The sequence below is a fragment of the Homo sapiens genome, chromosome X, assembly GCF_000001405.40.
Source record: "Homo sapiens chromosome X, GRCh38.p14 Primary Assembly".
Taxonomy (NCBI): domain Eukaryota; kingdom Metazoa; phylum Chordata; class Mammalia; order Primates; family Hominidae; genus Homo; species Homo sapiens.
Window position 1 is genome coordinate 153,929,193 of NC_000023.11, and position 15,477 is coordinate 153,944,669.

Consider the following 15,477-nt stretch of genomic DNA (forward strand, 5'->3'; position numbering starts at 1 on the left):
CCATAGAAACTGTACAACACAGACAGGAAACCTACTGTAAACCATGGGCTGTAGTTTACAATAACTTATCAGTATTGGCGCATCAACAATAACAAATACACCAACTAATACAAAATGTCAATGGGGAAACGCGGGGAATTGTACTAAAAATAAATTATTTTCAAATGCAAACTCAGGTTAGGGAGTAGACTCAAGAGGTATCATGGACTCACTGACCATTAGGGTGGCAGGGGAGGGAGGACTCAAGGACTGTTGATGGGGCATCTGGCTGGGTCATTACTCAGACAGGACATTTGTAGATAAGCCCAATGAGCAGTTGGATGTCCACATCTGGAGCCCACGGGTATGCTGGGGAGCTGCTGTAGCCCGAAGCAGGTGTGATTAGGGAGAGAAAGTCTGAAGGTGAAGGTGGGAAGAGAACTGAAGGCCACCAAGAGTGGGAGCCCTGCTGTTGAGCTTTGAGCCTGAGCAGCCCCGGCTTGTGCCACAAAACACATTCAGCGTGGCCAAGCAGACCTCCAAGGCAGGGTCTCTCCCATAAGTCCAGGGCCTCCTTCCCCGGGGCCACAGCTGCTGAAGGTCATGAGACTAGGGAGTCCCACCTCCAAAGCTCTTTCCTTGTACTCGGGCCTGGCAGGATGCTCTGGGTCAAAAGGCCAAGGCTCACATCCCCACCAGAGGACCTGGAGAAACACACCCTCTAAATGTGCGCGCGCTCACACACAAAGTTCCCCAGTGCCACGGAGCGAATTTATTGTGAAAGCTCGTGGGGTGAGGAGGGGATGGGGCAGGCTCTAGGAGGCTGAGTCGGAGGCCTCTGAGCTGTCCTTGACATCTGTGCTCTCTGTGGTCTCGCTGACCTCGCTGAGGTCCTTGCTGTCCCCACCACTATCCTCGGCAGCCAGGCCCTTCTCCTCGCGACAGGCCTCTCCTGAGCTCGGAGGTGAATTGCCTTTGCTCTCCACCTTGTTCTCGATGGCACCCAGCACCACGTGCCTGCCCTTCTCTTTCAGCTCCAGGTGCCGCCTCAGCTGCCACCAGGAACCCAGGGAGAAGCGGGGGCAAAGAGACAGGGCCTAAGTTTCCAGACAAAGGGAGCCTGGCCCTGTCGCTGGCTGAGGAGAGGGGCATAGTGAGGCAGCAGGGCTAGGCAGGACACGCGGGACTGAGTGGGGACACCTGGCTGGAGCCCCAGTCCACCGCTACCTGGGCTTACCGACTACCATGGAGGCCCCCACGACAGAGCGCTGCCCCTTGACCAGCCCTGCCACCCGATGAGCCTTGGGCAGAACCCTGACTCAGAACTACCTTTGAGCAGGCAGGCCACCCACTGGTCCCTAGACCTCCCCACTTCCCTTCTAAAAGCCTCCTCCCTCTGCCTCTCCCATCACCCTCCAGGCTGCTAGGCAGATGGCCTCCTCTAAAGCCCAGCCTAGGAAACTGAGGTCGTGACTCCTGGCAACGTAGCCACAAGAGCTGGCATCCAAAGTCGGTCTCGCCTGCAGCCACTGTCTTGGGGCTCCTGAGTGCCGCCCCCGCTCGCCTTGCTTGGCTTCATGCAGGCGCTTACCTCGTCGGCCATCTGAGTGAGGTCCCGCTTCATGGCATAGGCGTCCTCCCCATCTGCATAGTATTTGGGCTCCACTTCACTGATCCTGGGGGCAGAGGGTTAGAGAGCAAGGAGGAAGACCTGTATCCCGGGGACACCCTCCTCCACTCCTGGTATCGTGGCTACTGGAGCAAGGTGCCATGTTTTCTCCCTGAAGGCTCCATCCTGAGACAACAAGTCCAGTGTGACCTGCCCTCTGTTCTCTCCAGCAAAGGCTCCAGGACACAGCGGCCCGCCCCACCCGTCCTGCCCCCGTTCTGTGTCCTTAGCCTGGATACTAAGGATCCATTTCTGCGGTTTCTTGTGAGCTGAAGCCCTGAATTCAGCCTTCCCCTTCCCTCCCTGCCCTGCGCCCTGTCCCTTACTGAGCTGCCTCACAACAGCCATCAGAACCCAGGAAAGACGGTGAGCCCTGCCTGAGCAGCTCTGGGGCCGTGACTACACTGGGCAGGTGTGTGTGCAGACTCGCGTGGCCATGTCCCTGGAAGGGGAGCTGGACTCAATGGCCTAGGCTGGCCCTGCCAGGCCTAAGACATGAGGATTGCTGACTTAGCTATAAAGCAATTCCCACCAGACATCGTCATCTGGGTCACAGATCCCTCTTGCCAGCATCCAGCCCAGAGGCCACCGCCCTTCCCAACAGTCCCTCTTCTTCATCCCCTACCAAACGGGCTGAGTGCAGTTAGTGTCCCTCCACAGGCAGCCCACCCCAGCTTCACTTGCAAGCACTTTTTTCCACTGTCTACTGGGCATGCCAACTGCCAGGTTCTCTCTAGTGTGCTAGGCACACGGGGCCTCCTGGTCCTCAGGCAGACCTCCCCCATCCACTAGGCTGCCTGGCCACTGGCCCTTCCTTCCTGAATGTGCATTCTCCTCGATTCTGCTCTCTCTTGGATTCTTCTAGGTGCTTGGTCATGCTTGAGTCCTGCTCCTCAGCATCTGCTCACGCCAGGGACCCACACCTCTCTATTCCCAAACATTACTAAACAGCCCGTGTGCCCTTCGCCAGCCTCAGCCATCATGGGCCAGAGCTCCTCCATCACAACACATGGAGCACGTTTCAGCAGGCAGGTGCTGTCTCCATGCCGGCTTTTCAACCATCAGCCGCCGAGTGAATGTGGAGGTATCCTGGCAGTGCTGGGGTCCACAGCCTCTTCCCCACAGCCGGCCCACCCCCGACCTGGAAGGCAACTCAGCCGGTCTCAGGTGCCCTGATGGGCCAGACCTGGGATCAACCCCAGCCCATTAGAAAAATCGAGATCTACTTACTGAAAGTTGAGGGTGTTGGAATAGAGGTGCAGGGCGGCCCGGTTACTGCAGGGGAACAAGGCACTGCTGAGCTGCACGGATTTGGCCAGGGAGGGGTAGCACGTCCAGGTCTTGCCCCTCCTCCTGGTCCCTCCTTCCCCCCAATCCCACTTCCTGGATCTTCACCAAAAGCTGAGGTACCCCAGGACCCCCGTCAAGGCAGTATCTCTCCCCCTCAATCCCCCTTCCCTCAGCCCGGCTTCCACCTCTTCCTGACATGCAGGGAGACATATTTGGCATTGAAGTTCTCTATCATGGCTCGAGAGGCCTGGTCCATCAGTTTCTGAGCCAGACCGAGGCGCCGGTGGGAACGCTTCACAGCCTGGTGGGAGAAGAGCAGAGATGGGGTGAGGGACTGGGACCTTGAGGGCTGCCCCAACTAACCCCCACTTCCACCCCCACCAGAGAGCCTGGGTGGACCTTACATACCAATGAGGTGATATGTCCATGGGGCACATCATCTGGGTCCTCTTCCCTGGAGAGGGAGAAAGGAGAGGCTGCAAAGGAGCTCAGTGTAGGCACAGCCACCTCCAGCCCCCCTGCCATTTGTAGAGTGGACATGCACTACAGCCCCCTAAGACCCCAGCTGGGGGAGAGCCGGGAGCCTCTTGGATCAGAGCAGCCGATCCTGCCACCCTCTGCTGCCTGAAAACCCCAAGCCTGCCGGGTGTGGGGCACACGCCTATAGTTCCAGCTACTTGGCAGGCCGGGGCAAGAGGACTGCTTGAGCCCAGGAGTTCGAGACCAGCCTGGACAACACTTTTTTTTGTCTCTACAAAAAAAAAATCAAAAAATTAGCTGGATGTGGTGGCGCATGCCTGTGGTCCCAGCTACTTGGGAGGCAGACATGAGAGGATCACTTGAGCCTGGGAGGTTGAGGCTGCAGTGAGCCATGATCATGCCACTGCACTCCAGCCTGGGCAACAGAGCGAGACCCTGTCTCAAAAAATAAAAAAAGAAATGAGCTGTCAACCCACGCAAAGACAAGGCAGAAGCTTAAATGTGTATTACTAAGTGAAAAAAAGCCAGCCTGAAAAAGCTGTATATAGTATGATTCCAACTCTGTGACATCCTGGAAAAGGCAAAACCATGCAAACAGTAAAAAATCAGTGGTTGCCACGGGTTAAGGAGAGGGAGGGATGAATGCGTGGAACACAGTGAAACTATCCTGCGATAATATGAAGGTGGACACATGTCATTTGGTCAAAACCATGGGGCTTACAACACAAAGAGAAGTGCAGTAATGTAAACTATGGGTTTAGTTAATAATAATATATCGGCCAGGCGCAGTGGCTCACGCCTGTAATCCTAGCACTTTGGGAGACAGAGGTGGGTGGAAACACCTGAGGTCAGGAATTCGAGACCAGCCTGGCCAACGTAGTGAAACCCCATTGCTACTGAAATATACAAAAATTAGCCAGGTGTGGTGGCATGTGCCTGTAATCCCAGCTACTAAGGAGGCTGAGGCAGGAGAATCGCTTGAACCCAGGGGGTGGAGGTTGCAGTGAGCCAAGATCACGCGACTGCACTCCAGCCTGGGCGACAGGGCAAGACTCCGTCTCAAATAATAATAGTAATAATAATAATAGTAACATATCACATTCATTTATCACTTGTCACAAGTGGACCACACAAATCCAACATGCTACTAACAGAGGAAGCTGGCAGGGAGGGGATGCTGAGGGGTGCTATAAGAACTCCATGTCCTTTCTGTTCAATTTTTCTATAAACTTTCAACTGTACTGAAAAGAAGAAGCCTATTCATTTTTTTTAAAGCCCACAGAGGCATCCACCAGACACGTGTAGCTTCTGTCTTCCTCCTTGGTGACTCACATTTTGGCCAGGACATACCCCACAATCTTCCCATTCTCGTCCTCAGCAATGTAAGAGAGCTGGTGACAGGAAAACAGAGTGAGAAAACTTCTTGTCGGAGCTAGAAGAGCCCTTTAGAGGGACACAAACTGGACGAGTGGCGAGTTGTGTGATGGCTCATGACCTCCGGGCTGAGTGGCTTGGTCTCCCCCTCGCCACACTGTGCCCTGCCCATACCCAGAAAGAAGACGCAAAGTGGGGATCCTGCCCCTATTCTCTGCTCCCTTCGGGCGCCTTCTTTTCCTTTGCCCCTGTCTGCCAGCTGAAAACACCCAGGACGCCACCGACCATACAGCCCCCTGGGCTCTGACAGACTTGTCCACTCCCTCCAAGATGGCCAGATGGGATTTTCCTCGGCCTGCTTTCCCCCATGCCCAAATTCAGAAGCTGCCCACCTGGGGCCAGGAAAGGCCATGGTAGAAGTAGTATTTCATCTGGTAGTTCTCGGGCAGGCAGAGGAGGTTGCAGTGCTGCATGTTCATTAGGTCCTCTGGCTGCAGGGAAGGAGGGCAGTGGAACGCGCTCAGTCTAAGGCGGCGGTGACCACGGGTGAGAAGCCTGCTCCCCGTCGGTCTGCTCGGCCCCGCTCCCTCGGGGCTGGGCAGGCACTGTGACGATCTGACTTTGCACAACGCCCGGAGCACAGGAACAGGAGTGGGCGCCCCGGAGGTCCCCGGAGCCCACCCAACGGAGGCCCGACATCACGCAAACAGGAGGGAATCGCAGCCCCGGCCCCGCGCCCCGGCCTCTTCGGCGGGCTGGGCCAGCCCCATAGGTCCAGCGGCCGCAGGCACACTCAGGGCCACCGGGCCGGGCTCGGCCGGGGCCCTCGGGAGCATGCGCGGCAGCCACCCGGCCCGGCGCCCACGCGGCGCGGACAGCCTCCCGCCCCGGGCGCTCACCCTCGCATTGCGGATGTTCATAACGGCGGCGGGGCTCGCGGGTCCCAGCGGATCGTGAAGGCGCAGTCAGCTGCCGCCGCGCTCCGAAGCGACGCCGGGACGGCCGGGGCTGGGACCGGAGCTGGGCTCGCTGGGCGACGGCGGAAGGGGCGGTGCGCGCCGGGCCGGCCACCGGCCGGAAGTGCACGGCCGCCGGGCCCGTCCTCCCGGCCGCTTGGCCAATGCGCGGGACAGGCCAGCGCACGGGGCGGGCCAATGCGCGGAGCCGGTCAGCGCGGGGCGGGCCTGGGGGCGGGGCGGGCGCTGCCCCGGAGCTGGAGCCGGCCCCTCCCTCGGCGCGACAGCCCCCCTCCCGCGAGCCCACAGACGCGCGCACAGCCGCAGGTGGAGCGGACTCAGCCTTTATTCCGCGCCTCGGCAGGCGGGGGTGGGGGCGGGGGAGGGGGCGGGGGCGGGGCGGCTCAGCAGGGCGCCCAGCATCTCCTCGCACATGGCTAGGCACCGCGGCACGTGGAAGCAGCCTGCGGGTAGAGGCGGGCAGGTAGTGAGGGCCGGGGGCAGCCGAGAGGCGCAACCCCTGCGGCCCCGCCCTCTCCCCCACTCACCTTTGAAAGGACCTCCCTTGATGGAGAGGGCCACCTTGCCCTCTCGGCTCAGGTAGCCAAACCATTCCCCGTACTCGGGATCGCGAAACTGGAATAACAGAGACAGTGACAGCTAGCGCCTGCAGGACCCGCCCAGATGCCACTGCATCGCTACCAGGGGTCAGAGCCTGGGTTGACCCCAGGTGACGTGGCTCCAGAACCAGCGATCTTAACCGCGACACTGCGTCCTCCACAAAGATGAAAGCAGGGGTGGGCGCAGCAGGCAGGCTACAACTATATAACCGACTGGGCAAGGGGATGAGACACTGCTAGATGGAATGAAAGAACTCTGCCCTGGGGTGTAGAAACGTTGTCTATCGGGCCGGGAGCTGTGGCTTGCGCCTGTAATCCCAGCACTTTCGGAGGCCGAGGCGGGCGGATCACCTGAGGTCAGGAGTTCAAGATCAGCCTGGACAACATGGTGAAACCTCATCTCTACTAAAAATACAAAATTAGCCGGACGTGGTGGCACGCACTTGTAATCCCAGCAGTATACTCGGGAGGCTGAGGCGGGAGAATAGCTTGAACACAGGAGGCGGAGGTTGCAGTGAGCTGAGATCACGCCATTGCGCTCCAGCCTGGGTGACAGAGCGAGACTCCATCTCAAACAAACAAACAAACGAACAAACAAACAAACAAAAAAGTTCTCTATTGTGATTGTAGTCGTGGTTACGTTGATTCAAAGAAACAAAGAACCCGGCCGGGTGCAAAGGCTCACACCTGTAATCCCAGCACTTTGGGAGGCCGAGGCGGGCGGATCACAAGGTCAGGAGATCGAGACCATCCTGGCTAACACAGTGAAATCCCGTCTCTACTAAAATACAAAAAATTAGCCGGGAGTGGTGGCGGGCACCTGTAGTCCCAGCTACTCGGGAGGCTGAGGCAGGAGAATGGCGTGAACCCGGGAGGCGGAGCTTGCAGTGAGCCAAGATCGCGCCACTGCACTCCAGCCTGGGCAACAGAGCCAGACTCCGTCTCAAAAAAAAAAAAAAAAAAAGGAAAAGAAAAGAAACAAAGAACCCTGATGGAGGCGACGACCTGTCATGAAACTCTTAAGAAGTGACTCCCTTGGAGCTCCCATTCCCGGCTTCACAGGCCTGTCTTCCAGTAGATGCACAATCTCATCTGACTCCTGTCCTGGCTCACCATTGGTCCCAAACTCATCTCCTCCTCCCTCTGCCCCTGCCCAGTGCCCATTCCACTCTCTTTCCTTCTCTCTCCACTAGCATTCCATGGGGCACCTGTCTCAGGGAGGCTTGTCAGTTCAGCCCCTTCTCAAAAGGATCATGGACTCAATTACATTGAAGTCCACTATGAAAATGTCTCTTTAAATGGTGGCCCATAAGAGTTGGTGTATTCTTCTTTGTAGGAAGTAAAACTAGTCCTGGGCTGGGCACAGTGGCTCACGCCTATAATCCCAGCACTTTGAGAGGCCGAGGCGGGAGGATCACTTGAGGCCAGGAGTTTAAGACCAGGCTGGGAAACATAGTGAGACCCCATCTATACAAAAAAAAAATTAAAGAATTAGCTGGGCGTGATGGCACACAGCTGTAGTCCCAGCTACCTGGGTGGCTGAGGTGGAAGGATCGCTTGAGCCCAGGAGGTTGAGGCTGCACTGAGCCATGATTGTGCCACTGCACTCAGCCTGGGCGATAGAGACCCTGTCTCAAAAATAAATAAATAAATAAATAAATAAATAAATAAATAAATAAATAAAAACTAGTTCTGTGTGTATTCATTCTGTCTTTTGAGTTACATTGTTCAAGTCCTTACTTATTTTTTGACTGCTTGACATGACACAGGAAGGTAAAGAAGAATTTCCTTCAATGTCTGGATTTTTGCCTTCTGTATTCTGTTATGTTGGTTGATGCATAATGACTTACCTGTTTTTTTGTTTGTTGGTTAGTTTTTTGGTTTTTGTTTTTTTAAGACGGAGTTTCGCTCTTGTCACCCAGACTGGATGGAGTGCAGTGGCGTGATCCCAGCTCACTGCAACCTTCACCTCCCAGGTTCCAGTGATTCTCCTGCTTCAGCCTCCTGAGTAGCTGGGATTACAGGCACCCGCCACCAAGCCCGGCTAATTTATTTATTTATTTTTTTTATTTTTTATTTTTTTTAATGGAGTTTTGCTCCTGTTGCCCAGGCTGGAGTGCTTCCCGGGTTCAAGTGATTCTCCTGCCTCAGTCTCCCCAGTAGTTGGGATTACAGGCACCCGCCACCACACCCGGCTAATTTTTTGTATTTTTAATAGAGATGGGGGTTTCACCATGTCAGCCAGGCTGTTCTCGAACTCCTGACCTCAAGTGATCCACCTGCCTCGGCCTTTCAAAGTGCTGGAATGGCAGGCGTGAGCCACCGCGACCAGCCCAATTTTTGTATTTTTAGTAGAGACGGGGTTTCGCCATGTTGACCAGGCTGGTCCAGAACTCCTGACCTCAGGTGATCCACCCGCCTCAGTCTCCCAAAGTGCTGAGATTACAGGCATGAGCCACCATGCCCAGCCGATTTACCTGTTGATTATAACTTTTGTAATTGTTTAATGTCATCTATATCTTATTAAAATGTATTCCTTCAATTTCATTTTTGAGTTAGAACTGGTGGCCCCTAACACACACTCTATGAATGCATTAAATATTAAGATATAGCTGCAGGTCTAACAACCCTGCTGCTTTGGAAGTAGTGACGAATATATGTGATACTTGCAGATGTCTCTCTAACTGCAATGCAATGTAAACACATCTGGATTTCTATCGGTGACAAAGCCAGGCACTTCTATTACCAATGTGGTTCATTGCCTCCACTCATAATGGCAGCAAATGCTAGTTTCAGTTAGAGGTTAGTACAAATAAAGATGTGATTCTCCGCCCCCGGTTTCGAAGCTCACAGACCCCAGAATAAGATCCCCTGCTATAGTCCTCGCAGTACCAGGGTTCACCAGTGGAGTCGGAGTCGTGGCTTTAGAAACGCATGATGAATCTTCATTCATTCACCACCCAGGCCTTGCCACCACTGGGTGCCATGCCCTTTCCACTGGGTGCCATGCCCTTTCCACTGGGTGCCATGCCCTTTCCTGTGTTCAGCAGCTCGAGTTGCCTCCTGGGCAGCAGTCAAGACAGCTTATCACTCTGCTCCTAGCACTTGGGCTTCAGGGAGCCCCTGGCTTGGTTTTCTTCCTGCGTCACCACTGATTCTTGTCTCCTTTGCTGGGCCCCCATTTCCCTTTTTGCCTCATAGATCTCAGCAGCATCTGTACTGTTTTTTTTTTTTTGTTTTTTTTTTTTTTGAGACCAAGTCTTGCTCTTGTCCCCCAGGCTGGAGTGCAATGGTGCGATCTCGGCTCACTGCAACCTCTGCCTCCTGGGTTCAAGCGATTCTCCTGCCTCTGCCTCCCAAGTAGCTGGGATTACAGGCACCCACCACCACGCTTGGCTAATTTTTGTATTTTTAGTAGAGATGGGGTTTCACCATGTTGGCCAGGCTGGTCTTGAACTCCTGACCTCAGGTGATCCACCTGCCTCAGTCTCCCAAAGTGCTGGGATTACAGGCGTGAGCCACCGTGCCCGGCCTTTTTTTTTTGAGACATAGTCTCGCTCTGTTGCCCAGCCCAGGCTGGAGTGCAGTGGTGTGATCATAACTCATTGCAGCCTCAAACTGGGCTTAAGCAGTCCTCCTGCCTCAGCCTCCTGAGTAGCTAGGACTACAGGTGTGCATGACACCCAGCTAATTTTTTAAAATTTTTTGTAGAGACCAGGTCTCGTTATGTTGCCCAGACTGGTTTTGAAGTCCTCGGTTCAAGCGATCCTCCCGTCTCAGCCTGCCAAAGTGCTAGGATTATAGACATGAGCCACTGTGCCAGGCAGCATCTACATTCTTGTGATACTGAAAACATTCATGGTGAGTCCAGATCTCTCCGTCTGAACTGGAGACTCAGGAATCCCACTGCTGCTCCACCAGACTGTGAACCCTCTGTCCCCACCAGCTCCCACCTGGGCCAGCCCTCACTGGCTGGGATGACAGCTACAGCTTCCTCTGCTGTCCCAGCTTCTGCCCTGTTCCCTACAGACTTCCCCCATAACACCCTCCCCTCCAAGCCCCAGGACCCAGGTAACAATGGAATCAGACCAGGCAGCTGGAGTCCGTCCCTTGCCCACTCTGCCTTTATCCTCCCGGGCTGCCAGGCCCCCCTGCTGTGCCACATGCCCCACCCTGCCCAGACTCCCAGTCCCTCAGACACACCCCTGATTGACTCGGCCCCTGCTCAGTGCTTCCCTGCTGCCACCCCATAGGAAAGAGCCCCCCCACAACCCTCTCCAGTGGTATTATTCCCACAGCTGTCACTCTCACCACCACCTAGGTCTGCTTGCTTACACTCTGCTCCTCCCGCCCCCACCACCAAAATTCGAGCTCTAGGAGGGCAGAGGCTTCTTCGTTGACTGAACGAACAGCACTGGGGCTCCGGAAACTCTCAGACCAGCTGAGCGACTGTGCTCAGCGAGGGGGCAAGAGCGCAGCCGGGCCAGACTCCCCCCATTCCCCCATTCAGCCTCTAGAGGGGACAAGGAGGCAGCTCTCACCTGGCGGAAGGTGTACTCAGCCACTTGGTAGAAGAGGCGCAGCAGCACAGGGTCCCCACTGTCACTGTAACCCATGAGGAAGGCAATCATGGCTTCACTGTGTGGCCACCAGAGCTTCATGGCCCACTCCAGCTGAGGGGAGAGCAGGGGCAGGCATCTCAGCAGGAAACTCCCCTCCGCAACTTTCCAGACCTGGCTGCGTCTCCATTGGCCCAAGCTACTGGAGGTGAATTGCGGGACATCTTTGGAAGTTCTGAAGGACCCCTCCCAGTGATATCAGCTTCCTGACCTGTAGATTCTTGAATAGACACCAGGGCCCCAGACGAATGGCATATATGTCTGAGCATCAGCGTTTCGCCAGCTCCCTGGTGGCCTCCATATGACATGGTGTCAGAGGTGTGTAAACCAGAGCAACTCCATCTTAAACAGGAGCTGGGTCAAATGAGGCTGAGACCTACTGGGCTGCATTCCCAGACGGCTGAGGCATTCTAAGTCGCAGGATGAGATATGAGGTCGGCACAAAATACAGGTCATAAAGACCTTGCTGATAAAACAGGTTGCAGTAAAGGAGCCGGCCAAAACCCACCAAAACCAAGGTGGCGACAACAGTGACCTCTGCTCGTCCTCACTTCCAACAGTTTACAAATGCCATGGCAACGTCAGGAAGTTACCCTATATGGTCTAAAAAGGGGAGGCATGAATAATCCACCCCTTGTTTAGCATATCATCAAGAAATAAGCATAAAAATGGGCAACCAGCCGGGTGCGGTGGCTCACGCCTATAATCCCAGCACTTTGGGAGGCTGAGGCGGGCGGATCACCTGAGGTCGGGAGTTCGAGACCAGCCTGACCAACATGGAGAAACCCCGTCTCTACTAAAAATACAAAATTAGCCAGGCATGGTGGCCCATGCCTGTAATCCTAGCTACTCGGGAGGCTAGGGCAGGAGAATCGCTTGAACCCGGGAAGCAGAGGTTGTGGTGAGCCGAGATGGCGCCATTGCACTCCAGCCTGGGCAGCAAGAGCAAAACTCCACCTCAAAAAAAAAAAAAAAAAAAAAAAAAAAGGCAACCAGCAGCCCTCAGGGCTGCTCTGCCTATGGAGTAACCATTCTTTTATTCCTTTACTTTCTTAATAAACTTGCTTTCACTTTGCATTGCGGACTCGCCCTGAATTCTTTCTTGGGCAAGATCCAAGAACCCTCCCTCTTCTGGGGTCTGGATCACGACCCCTTTCCTGTAACACTGGCACAGAAGCTGAGAGCAGGCCTCTAGGTTCCAATCCAGCCCCAGGTTACCCTCTAGAGAAGCAACCACCTCCCTGGGCAGAAAGCCTTAGAACAGCGTGGGTCACACATGGCCCTGGGCGCTCTCCCACCTGGGTGGGGCAGAAGTTATCAGCATCCTGGAAGTAAAAGAGGCCTCCGTGGTCAGGGTCCCATCCGGAGTGGAAGGGCAACAATAGGAACTTGTCAATCACGTGGGCTCGAAGTTCGGGGTCGCCTTTCCGAATGCAATGACGGAGCAGAAACCAGCCGGCTTCCAGCGTGTGGCCTGGTGAGGGGTGGAGTACGGAAGGGCGGGGGGCGGGGGGTGGGGTTGAGGGAGGGAACAGAGGGAGCAAAAGCCCCTGGCACCTCTCTGCTCCCTCCCTAACAATGAGCGAGGCTCTGAGCTCCCTGGCCCTGGAAGCCTGCTCCTCTGCAGAAACCCCCAGCCTTGGGAAGCCCATCCTCGCTCCTCTGCCTCCTCAAGGCGCCCCCGCCAGGCACTCCCATATCTGAAGCCCAGAACACAAGGCTCAGCGCTCCCCTCCTCCTGGGTGGCCCCCAGCCCACCCCGCCCCTCACCTGGGTTCTGCTGTCTCCCCAGGCAGCCAGGAAGTTCCTTGCCACCCTCTGACACATTCTCCAGCACAGCTTGTCCATCCCTCTACCGGGAAGGAGCAGAAGGGAATGTTGCCTCCAGCCCTTTCACCCACCCAGCCACCCAACTAGAAAGACCCAGCTCCGGAAAGCCCTTCCTCCCTCCCTCTTACCCAAGCCCCTGGACCTGCTGGCTTGGGTGGGCCAGGCTCAGAGGGGCATTTAAGGAGGGGCTGATTCACTCCCTTGGGCCTAGCAAGTTGTTGTTTTTTTTTTTTTTTTTTTTTTTTAGACAGAGTCTTGCTCTGTCACCCAGGCTAAAGTGCAGTGGCCGCAATCTCGACTCACTACAATCTCCACCTCCTGGGTTCATGCGATTCTCCTGCCTCAGCCTCCCTAGAGGCTGGGATTACAGGCATGCACCACCATGCCCAGCTAATTTTTGTATTTTTAGTAGAGACGGGGTTTCACTATATTGGCCAGGCTGGTCTCCAACTCCTGACCTCAGGTGATCCGCCCGCCTCAGCCTCCCAAACTGCTGGGATTACAGGCACGAGCCACCGCGTCCAGCCCGGGCCTAGGAAGATGTAATCCTCACTTCTGGCCTGATCCTCTCCAGCAGGGGAGGGTGAAACATTGAATGGGGACAGACAGGGCGGGTTTCACGGCCCAGAGGCCTGGAAGGGACTTGGGTGGGGCAGGAGGGGTCTCCTTCTGTCAGGGCTTGCCTGGGGCTCCGCATCCTCCCTCCAGCCCTCAGGCCCTCCACCTTCCCCAGGTGGGGACATCCCCGAATCTCTGTCTCTCCAGGTGTGTCGAGCCCCAGGGTGCCCAGGGGAGTGGGGGAGTGGAAGGCCTCCCACCACCCCAGCTCCCCAGGCATCCCCCACCTGCACGTGCTGCAGAATCCTCCGGGCGCACCAGTCCCCCAGCTCTGCGTATTTGCCCGCCAGCTCCTCATCTGCCTCCCCGAGCTGCTCCACCAGGTTCAGTAGCATCATGGGCACCGCCATGGGCTCCGCAGCCGGGGCCCCCTGGAGCTGGGGCCGGCCCAGTCCCGACGCGTCCTCCTGCACCCAGTGGACGATCTGATCCATCATCTCCACCGCTTCCGTCTGGGGGTGCAGGAGGCAAGGGGAGGCCCAGGCTGAGGCTACATCCTGTGCCATCCCCCTGGACACGGCCCTGGGGTGGGAGAGCCAATTCCTCTCCTGAACCCAGAGACACCTTCATCCAGGGCCTACTTGGGGCCTGGCACCCAGCGTCCAGTAGGGGCCAGTCAGATCCGCCCCACTCTGCTCCCAGTCTGGGGGTGCAGCCCCTTCCAGGCTGTGGGGTCAGGGTCTGGCAGCACAGGGAGCCCAGGGAGGAGGGAAGGGCCTTTTCCCAGTTGGGGGCAGGGCGTGGATAGGGCCCTCTCCGTCTGCGCCCCTGTGGGGGTAGGGGAGCGTTCAGAGGTGAAGGGGACTTGGCCCACAGATGGGTCCATGGGAGGGGACTTGCGTAGTGAGTGGGAATGCATCAGGTGGCCATGGCAGGGTCGCAGGGTGGGGTCTTCAGGGGCACCCTCCTCTCACACACCTGGTACCGCACTTCCCCTGTGGCTCTCCACAGCTCGTTCATGGCCATGGTGTAGAAACACTCACTGAAGATGGTTCGCTGCACCTTGACCGGGCGGCCGTCCCGAGTCAGCACAAAGGCACACTTCTTGCCAGGAGGTGCCACCCGGGCATACCGCAGCAAGAACTCACCACCTGGAGGTTGGGGGGTTGGCATGCCAGGGGTAAGGCCAGGACGCCCCGCACACACCACCCTTGAGCCTCCCCAAGTCCTTCGCTGCTTCTAGATCCCTCTAGGAACTCCGCACATGTGCCCTGTTGAGTAAACATGGACGGAGTCACTGGGAGATGGGCAGGAAGGGGGCACCTACCTGCTTTTGCTGCGTCCAGAAGCTGAGCATGGCGGAAGCGCTCGAAAGTGCGGTACAGGCGACAATACATCCATACCTGCGGGGTACGGGAGGGAAAGTGGCTTAAGTGGCCGGCTGGGGTGAGGTGGGGAGACCTTTGAGGCGATGGGCCGTGTGCCTGAGCTTCCAGGCTGGGAACACCATACCTGCCTCCCCTGCAGCCACACATACTTGAGGTCATCATACACCCGCCCCTCGCGGCCAAGGCACGTGAAGAAGCCCCTGTGGGAAGGCAGGGTTAGCAAAGTCTGGAACGGGCCTTGCCAGCCCCTCCTGCCCCTCTGGGGCCAGCAAATCTGTGAGGTGCCTGAGAGTGAGAAGGGGCCTCAGGAAGGGCAAAAACCCTGCTGAGGACTCCAGAAGCACGCCGAGTACCCGTGCTCCTGGTCGTGGGAGTGCTCCATCCAGAAAGCCACCACGCGGTCCAGCTCCTGCCCCACGCGCTCCTTCCAGGCCTGCAGAGTCTCTCGCTCTTTCTCCATGTCCTAGGGGAAATGGGGCTTGAAGGCGCAGCCCCCACATGGGACCTAGGCCCCCCCAGCCTCGGGAACCAGCCCTCAGGGATCTCCCCACCTCTGCACGGGGCTTCAGACGTCACCATCCCCGGGACCCTCCAAGACAGCACTCCCCCCAAGCACCCCACCACTGGCCTGTCGCGCTGGGAGACCCTTGCTCATCCCTCCTGCTCCTCTAGGAAGCCAGACAGAGTTGGTCGCGGTCCCGTGACTGTCACTCA

At 56.7% G+C, this 15,477-nt stretch overlaps 2 protein-coding genes across 5 annotated transcripts, besides 5 other annotated features; both read right to left on the bottom strand.

Moving 5' to 3' along the window:
* On the bottom strand, positions 33-5,845 carry NAA10 (N-alpha-acetyltransferase 10, NatA catalytic subunit). 3 transcript variants are annotated; one of them, NM_001256120.2, is made up of 8 exons: positions 5,692-5,845; positions 5,185-5,283; positions 4,769-4,809; positions 3,347-3,392; positions 3,124-3,239; positions 2,879-2,923; positions 1,571-1,655; positions 33-1,031 (listed from the first exon to the last, which is right to left on the bottom strand). In NM_001256120.2, the coding sequence occupies exons 1-8, from the start codon at positions 5,710-5,712 to the stop codon at positions 795-797; spliced, it is 690 nt and encodes a 229-aa protein (NP_001243049.1). In that variant the 5' UTR covers positions 5,713-5,845; the 3' UTR covers positions 33-794. The 3 variants fall into 3 exon arrangements, with proteins under 3 accessions (NP_001243049.1, NP_003482.1, NP_001243048.1); NM_003491.4 differs by having other exon boundaries at positions 4,751-4,809; NM_001256119.2 differs by lacking the exon at positions 2,879-2,923 and having other exon boundaries at positions 4,751-4,809.
* Positions 5,535-6,114: a silencer, noted in NCBI's record as "silent region_21075". NCBI's record gives its function as "represses an Ori minimal core promoter by ATAC-STARR-seq in GM12878 lymphoblastoid cells {active_cell/tissue: GM12878}" and the evidence as "EXISTENCE:reporter gene assay evidence [ECO:0000049][PMID:35858748]".
* RENBP (renin binding protein) lies at positions 6,077-15,451 on the bottom strand. Of its 2 annotated transcripts, none has more exons than NM_002910.6 (11): positions 15,392-15,451; positions 15,117-15,226; positions 14,888-14,963; positions 14,703-14,778; positions 14,354-14,526; positions 13,663-13,887; positions 12,758-12,839; positions 12,286-12,461; positions 10,910-11,041; positions 6,297-6,384; positions 6,077-6,212 (listed from the first exon to the last, which is right to left on the bottom strand). In NM_002910.6, the coding sequence occupies exons 1-11, from the start codon at positions 15,416-15,418 to the stop codon at positions 6,094-6,096; spliced, it is 1,284 nt and encodes a 427-aa protein (NP_002901.2). In that variant the 5' UTR covers positions 15,419-15,451; the 3' UTR covers positions 6,077-6,093. The 2 variants fall into 2 exon arrangements, with proteins under 2 accessions (NP_002901.2, XP_016885187.1); XM_017029698.2 differs by having other exon boundaries at positions 15,315-15,451.
* Positions 6,105-6,610: an enhancer, noted in NCBI's record as "H3K4me1 hESC enhancer chrX:153200750-153201255 (GRCh37/hg19 assembly coordinates)". NCBI's record gives its function as "activates a minimal SCP1, AML or CMV promoter by ChIP-STARR-seq in naive H9 embryonic stem cells {active_cell/tissue: H9 hESC(naive)}" and the evidence as "EXISTENCE:reporter gene assay evidence [ECO:0000049][PMID:30033119]".
* Positions 6,611-7,115: an enhancer, noted in NCBI's record as "H3K4me1 hESC enhancer chrX:153201256-153201760 (GRCh37/hg19 assembly coordinates)". NCBI's record gives its function as "activates a minimal SCP1, AML or CMV promoter by ChIP-STARR-seq in naive H9 embryonic stem cells {active_cell/tissue: H9 hESC(naive)}" and the evidence as "EXISTENCE:reporter gene assay evidence [ECO:0000049][PMID:30033119]".
* Positions 10,253-11,017: an enhancer, noted in NCBI's record as "H3K4me1 hESC enhancer chrX:153204898-153205662 (GRCh37/hg19 assembly coordinates)". NCBI's record gives its function as "activates a minimal SCP1, AML or CMV promoter by ChIP-STARR-seq in primed H9 embryonic stem cells {active_cell/tissue: H9 hESC(primed)}" and the evidence as "EXISTENCE:reporter gene assay evidence [ECO:0000049][PMID:30033119]".
* Positions 15,294-15,423: an enhancer, noted in NCBI's record as "active region_30043". NCBI's record gives its function as "activates an Ori minimal core promoter by ATAC-STARR-seq in GM12878 lymphoblastoid cells {active_cell/tissue: GM12878}" and the evidence as "EXISTENCE:reporter gene assay evidence [ECO:0000049][PMID:35858748]".

Bases quoted from the DNA above. Each gene is read 5' to 3' on its own strand.
- NAA10 (NM_003491.4), bottom strand. From the start codon at position 5,712: ATGAACATCCGCAATGCGAGG. The intron at 4,810-5,184 runs GTGGGCAGCTTC...TCCTGTCACCAG, and splicing joins ATGGCCTTTCCTGGCCCCAG to CTCTCTTACATTGCTGAGGA. The intron at 3,240-3,346 runs GTATGTAAGGTC...TTCTCCCACCAG, and splicing joins ATGGACATATCACCTCATTG to GCTGTGAAGCGTTCCCACCG.
- RENBP (NM_002910.6), bottom strand. From the start codon at position 15,418: ATGAGCAAGGGTCTCCCAGCGCGACAG. The intron at 12,462-12,757 runs GTGAGGGGCGGG...ACCCCTCACCAG, and splicing joins GGGGAGACAGCAGAACCCAG to GCCACACGCTGGAAGCCGGC. The intron at 6,213-6,296 runs GTGAGTGGGGGA...CTCTACCCGCAG, and splicing joins CAAGGGAGGTCCTTTCAAAG to GCTGCTTCCACGTGCCGCGG.